The 7,028-nt window shown below is 38.2% G+C and overlaps 1 pseudogene; it reads left to right on the top strand.

Annotated features, from left to right (window-relative positions):
• On the top strand, positions 1,344–1,436 carry RNY4P22 (RNY4 pseudogene 22; annotated as a pseudogene).

Here is a 7,028-nt window from a genome sequence, read left to right as displayed (position 1 = left end):
CAGGTTGCCCTAAATCATACCTACCTTCTTCCTACCACTCCCTATCTTTATTTCTATTCCATGGCAAACACTAGTCTGCCCTCCTTTCTAAAATTTTGTCATTTTAAAAATGTTATGCGGTCATATAAAAGAACAAGATCATGGCTTTTAAATGAACATGGATGGAGCTGGAGCCTATTATCCTTAGCAAATTAATGCAGCAACAGAAAACCTTATACCGCATGTTCTCAATTATAAGTGAGAGCTAAATGATGAGGACTCATGAACAGAAAGAGGGGAACAACAAACACTGAGGGGTACTGGGTTTACTACCTGGGTGAAGAAATAATCTGTGCAACAAACCCCTGTGACATGAGTTTACCTATGTAACAAACCTTCATATATACCCTCCAACCTAAAATAAAAGTTAAAAAAAAGAAGAAAAACTTATATAAATGAGATGATGACTGAAGGAATAAGTGAATATAATGAAAAAGCTCAGAAGTTGGTTTGCCTCTGAAACTGATGTAATAGTTCAAAGTGATTAAATTAATTCTCATTTATTTAAAGAAATCACCAGTAATTAAACCTATAGATAGCATAGGTCTCTAGATATGATGCACAGAAAGAGCAAACACCACTTTGTATTCCTGTCAAAAATGAATAACCTGAATCTAACTTCAAGGAAGCACTGGAGAAACCCAAACTGGGGGACATTCTACAAAATAACTGCCCCATACTTTTTTTTTTTTTTGAGACAATTTCATTCCCATTGCCAAAACTGGATTGCAATGGTGTGATCTTGGTTCACTGCAACATCTGCCTCCCAGGCTCAAGCGATTCTCCTGCCTCAGTTTCCCAAGCAGCTAGGACTGCAGGTGCATACCACTGTTGCCAGCTAGTTTTTGTATTTTTTTGTAGAGACAGGATTTTACCATGTTGCTCAAGCTGGTCTCGAACTCAACCTCAAGCAATCCACCTGCCTTGGCCTCCCAAAGTGACTGGCCTATACTCTTAAACACTGTTGATACCAAGAAAGATAAAAGAAAGATTTGATGATCAGATTAAAGAATAAAGAAATGTGACAACTGAATGTAATGCAATATCCTGAATTGGATCCCGGGCCAAAAAAAAAAAAAAAAAAAAAAAGCCATAAACAACATTACTGGGAAACTTGACAAAATTTAAAGACAAACTGTTGTTTAGGTAGGAATATCATATCTATGTTAAATTTCCTGATTTTGATCATTATATCGTAAAAAATATCTTTGCTCTTAGGGAACAAAGACTATATATTTATGGGTACAGGTACATAATGTCTACAACTTACTCTCAACTAATTCATGGGGAAAAAACTATGTTTAGGCTGGTCTGATGGTAGTGGGTTATCAGAACTTATTAATATTAGTGTCACTAAGGTTGATATATAACCCCCCACTAAATTTGACTGGCTTAAAAAAAACTATGTTTATATATAAAGAAATAAACATGATGAAATAAATGAGGCAAAACTTTCACAATAGGTTGTTTTGACTAAAAAAATAGTTCTTTTTACTCATGCAAGTATTTTCTCTTTCTTTCTTTTTTTTTTTTTTTGGAGACAAGAGTCTCGCTCTGTCTGGAGGGCAGTGGCTCAATCTCAGCTCACTGCAAACTCTGCCTCCCAGGTTCAAGTGATTCTCCTGCCTCAGCCTCCCAAGTAGCTGGGATTACAGGCGTGCACCACCACACCTGGCTAATTTTTGTATTTTTAGTAGAGACGGGATTTCACCATGTTGGCCAGGCTGGTCTCGAACTCCCGGCCTCAGGTGATCTGCCTGCCTCAGCCTCCCAAAGTGCTGGGATTACAGGTGTGAGCAAGTTTTTTCAAAGCTTATGATTTTATCAAAATAAAGTTACTCACCCCTGAAAAAAAAGTATTATATAAATGGAATCATACAGTATGTAACCTTTTGGGACTGACCCTTTTCACTCAATATAATTCCTAGGAGATTCATCCAAACTGTTTATGTATCAGTAGTTCATTCCTTTTTATTTATTTCCCTTGGTATGGATGTACCATACTCTCATTCCCTTTTTGAAGTACATCTGGGATTATTCCAGTTTTAAATTATTATCAATAAAGCCTGTACTTATGTCCAAGTTTTTGTGCAAACGTAAGTTTTTGTTTCTCTAAGGGAAAAAATCCCCAAGAGTGCAACTGCTGGGTTATATGGTAATCAAATATTTAGTTTGTTAAGAAACTGTCAATTGTTTTGCAGTTACTGTATCATTTTATATTCCCACCAGCAATGTCTGAGTGATCCAGTTTCTTTGCATCCTCACCAGCATTTGCTGTTGCCATTATTTTTTTATTTTAGCTATTCTGATAGATGTGTAGTGCTATCTCATTGTGGTTTTAATTTTCATTTCCCTGACGACTAACCATGTCAAAACATTTTTTTCACAGGCTTATCTGACATCGGGTTATCCTCTTTAGTAAAATTTCTGTGCATGTCTTTTCCACATTTTCTTTTTTTCTTTTTTTTTTTTTTTTGAGACGGACTCTTGCTCTGTTGCCAGGATGGAATGCAGTGGCATGATTTCGGCTCACTGCAACCTCCGCCTCCTGGGTTCAAGCAATTCTCATGCCTCAGCCTCCCTAGTAGCTGGAAATACAGGCACACACTGTGCCACACCCAGCTAATTTTTGTATATTTAGTAGACGGCGTTTCACCATGTTGGCCAGGATGATCTTGATCTCCTGACTTCGTGATCCGCCCGCCTGGGCCTCCCAAAGTGCTGGGATTACAGGCATGAGCCACTGTGCCCAGCCTTGCACATTTTCTAATTGGATTGTTTGCTTTTTCCCTGTTGAATTTGGATATTTATATACTTATTATAAAGACTAGTCCTTTGTTGGATAGGTGGTATGTTAGTTTCCTAGGGCTGCTATTACAAATTACCACAAGTGGGGTCACTTAAAACGAAAGAAATTTATTCTTTCACAGTTCTGAAGGCCAGACGTCCAAAGCCAAGGTGTCAGCAGGTGGTACTCCCTCTGGAGGCTCAGAACGAAATCCACTCCTTGCCTCTTCCAGTTTCTGGCAGCTGTCGGCATTCCTAGGTTTGTGACATCTTTCCCTCTGCTAGTCTTCACATCACCCTCTCTGTGCCTGGCTTGTGGCCTCATGACTATAATTTCTATCTTCATCTTCACATTGCCTTCTCTCCGTATGTGTTAAATTTCTCTCTGCCTTATTCTTACCAGGCTGCTTGAGATGGAACTAAACACTGATTTTGATCGTACTCGACTATTCTTATTGTCCTTTTAATGCTTATATCCCTTTTAATGATCCATAAGTGTTTACTGGTTCATGATATCAGCACATGACACAAAACCAAAATTAGCAACAAAATAACATAGCATCAATAATTTGTGTTTCTAGCATAAAGCCTTAACAAAAATGACATAACTCTGGTATGTGTGTATGTATCCCTTTTCCTCTGGGACTTACACTCACATTAGCCATCACAAAGACTTCCTCACATCTGTATGTGGTAGGCCTTTAGACATTTGAATGATTTGACAAAGGTCAAAGCAACATCAATAAATGTAAATGTATTTAAAGTATATAGTATCATGATTAAGGACACAGGCCCTGGAGTCAGATTGACAGCAAAGCTTGTACCTGGCTTCATGCTTACTAGATTCACCACATTACGCCTCTATTTCTTCATCTGAAAAAATAGGTTTATAAGCTTTATCACAAGGATAAAATGAGTTAATTCATATAAAGCACTAGTATTTTCCTGGCAGAAAGTATGCCCTCATTCAGTGTTAGCTGTTATAATTCAACTAATTGTTCACATGTCTCGCTATGCTAAGAGAAATGGGAACCACTAAAAAAAAAAAAAAAAAAAAAGACATGAATTCCACTATACAATAAATAATAGCCTTATGAAAGCAATACATATGCATATTTCTGAAAAACACAAATGAAACATAAAAACAGCATAAAGTGCTATCTATTCCTTGTAGTCTTCTGCCCACTTTATGCATGTACAAACTCTCCAAAGCCTGTCACTATTGAGCTGAAGAAAGTACTAAACTAATAAAAGCAGACGTCAAAAAAATACAGTCACAAAACATTTTGATGCCTTGCTGTATTTCAGTTTTGAAAATTTTGGTCACCAAATTACTAATTTTTGTATTGCTATTCAAGTTAATCCGCACCACATTCCATGATAACTATTGTATTAAACTTTCTCAAAAAATTTTTTTAAAATATTAATTCCAGAGAGGAGACACATTAATATATTTTTGATTGTCAAATAAACAGAGAGGAGTTTAATTTTTTTCTTTAAAAATAAGGAGATCACAAGAGAACATGAACCAGAAAGAAATAATAAAATACAAAATAATAATATTGATAAAAATTCAGGAGAAGTCCAAGCATGGTGGTTCATGCCTGTAATCCCAGCACTTTGGGACGCCAAGGCAGGAGAGTGGTTTGAGCCCAAGAGTTCGAGACAAGCCCAGGCAAAATAGCAAGACCCTGTCTCTACAGATTTTTTTTTTTTAATTAGCTGGACATAGCAATGCATGCCTATGGTCCCAGCTACTCAGAAGGCTGAGGTGGTAGGATCACTTGAGCCTGGGAAGTTGAGGCTGCAGCAAGCCATGATCGCACCACTACCCTCCAGCCTGGGCAGCAGAGTGACAAACCCTGTCAGAAAACAACCACCACCACCAAGAAGAAATCAGAAGAAGATATCAAGTCTGTGCAGGACTTCAGCTCCGTAAATAAAAATCATAAAATCTGCACATAGTAATAAATGTTAGGAACAAGGCAGTTAAAGATTAGTAACAAGCAGTTTTATTGGGATTTTAGGAACTTGCAGGGGAGAATGTGAGTGCTCATTATATTTTAAATACATCATAAAGTTAAAACCAATGAAAGTAGAAATAACATGCATTCACATTTTGAAAAACCTTGAAAGTAATGCAGCTACAAATATTCACTATCATTTGAGAGCAAGCTTTTTAAGAAGTTAAAATGATTTGAATTATACCATAACTATTCTAAACATCTATTAAATTAAACAAAGAATTTTCACTAATTGGTTACCCTTTCATAGGTTCTTCTCAGTTTGTCAGCTAGATGATGTGTTCCTACACTGTACTTTGCGATATAATTAAACCATGGATTATCTCTGAATTAGGCTGGGTACAACTGTGATATAACAAAAGGGAGAAGTCGCAGAACATAGTCCAGCTGTTAATAGCATGGACTTTGGAGCCAGGCTTCCTGGGTTCAAACTCCAGTCCACCATTTAGTACTCTTTGAAATATGCATATTTTTGTTCAAAAAGGAATATGTGCATTCTTCCTGGGAAGAGTTGTAGTTTCCACAAAATTTTAAAAGAGCTATTGATTCCAACAGTAATTCAGTTCCCTAAAATCAGCGGCAGTAGAACATTTTGATGTACAAAAGTTACTCATGCTAGGACTCTGGTGGTATTTTCCCTCACTGCCCCTAAATTCAGCCATTTCTATTCTTTAGGGCTCTATAATAAACACCTGATTTGAAGTCTGACCCATTTTTAAATTGGGAACGGGGAAGACACCCCTCAAAAAGTCAGAACCTCAAAGCCTTTGGTCAGGGCCAGCTATATAATCTGTGTGGGTCAATGTGAAATGAAAATATGATGCTCCTTGTTCAAAATCCAAGACAAAAACCTTCAGCTTACCGATAAGTAGAGAAAGACTGAAAAGAAAAGGAATTGTGGAATGTCTTATCTTTCCTTTTCCTTTCATGCCATCACTTTTAGTGTAAGTGGTTAGAAAATATAGTAACGTGGTTGGGCATGATGGCTTAGCCTGTAATCCCAGTTTGGAAGGCTGAGGCAGACAGATCACTTGAGCTCAGGAGTTTGAGACCAGCCTAGGCAACATGGCAAAACTCTGTCTCTACAAAAAAATACAAAAATTAGGGGGCGTAGTGGTGGGTCCCTGTAATCCCAGCTACCTGGGAGGCTGAGGCAGGAGAACTGCTTGAACCTGGGAGGCAGAGGTTGCAGTGAGCTAAGATGATGTCACTGCACTCCAACCTGGGAGACACAGCAAAACTCCGTCTCAAAGAAAATAATAATAATTTCAAGAGGGCAAGGGTGAGCCCTTCTGAGCACTTTGTACTTAGGTCCCTAACTACAAAATAAGTGGTTCATGGAGGCCATTTAGTGCGCATCCTGAACATTGTATGACATGGGGCAAGAAACAGTGACAGACACACACATTGCATGAATCACATCTGCTCACAAGATTGCTCCATTGTCTCATCAGACATCACTTACAAAACATAAGTTCAAATATAAACTCCTAAGCATTTCAAGACGGCAACAGCAGAGCATTAAACCAAATGTACAGCCCTTCTAAGCACCGGTTGCCTGCTCATGAAGCTGGCCCTATTCTCTGCTCTCATGTTCCACTTCATAATTTTCTGACCTCAAACAACAAAAAACCTCTCTGCCCATTCCTTCTTGATGCTTCTACACATATAAGCCACATTGCCCAGTGGCAGTAAACTGAGGGTTAATGGAGTTGGTCTGGTTAACTTGGAAAACGAGGGAGTTGTTGGCTGGAGAAGGGTGTTTCAGCCTCTTCCACTCAAGCCAGGATGGGTACCCAGACTAGAGCAAGCATGTGTTAGCTACCTTTAAAAAACAACAACACACCTTCATAAAGAATGCCTAGATTCAAAACATTTGTTTCGTTTTCATTTATTTGTTCCTTTATTGTCCCAGTGAATATTTACTACTTACTTCAAATTGCAACGAGATGCTGACAATTTAGCTATGAACAAAGCAGATGTAGTTCCTGCCCTTATTCAACTTCAAGAAACAGGCAATGAACGACAAGTCAGTGTCACAAGGAATACCAAGGGGAAAATGCAGGGCACTAAGAAAGTGTAAAGCAGACACTCAGGGGCTTTAGGGGTAGATAAGTCTTTCTGGAAGAATTCATCTGTACAGTGAAACTTCAGTATACATAGGAGTAAGTTCGGCCA

Source organism: Homo sapiens, chromosome 3, assembly GCF_000001405.40.
Source record: "Homo sapiens chromosome 3, GRCh38.p14 Primary Assembly".
Classification (NCBI taxonomy): Eukaryota; Metazoa; Chordata; class Mammalia; order Primates; family Hominidae; genus Homo; species Homo sapiens.
Note: the sequence above shows the minus strand (reverse complement) of the source record. Positions and strands in the feature narration are given on the sequence as shown.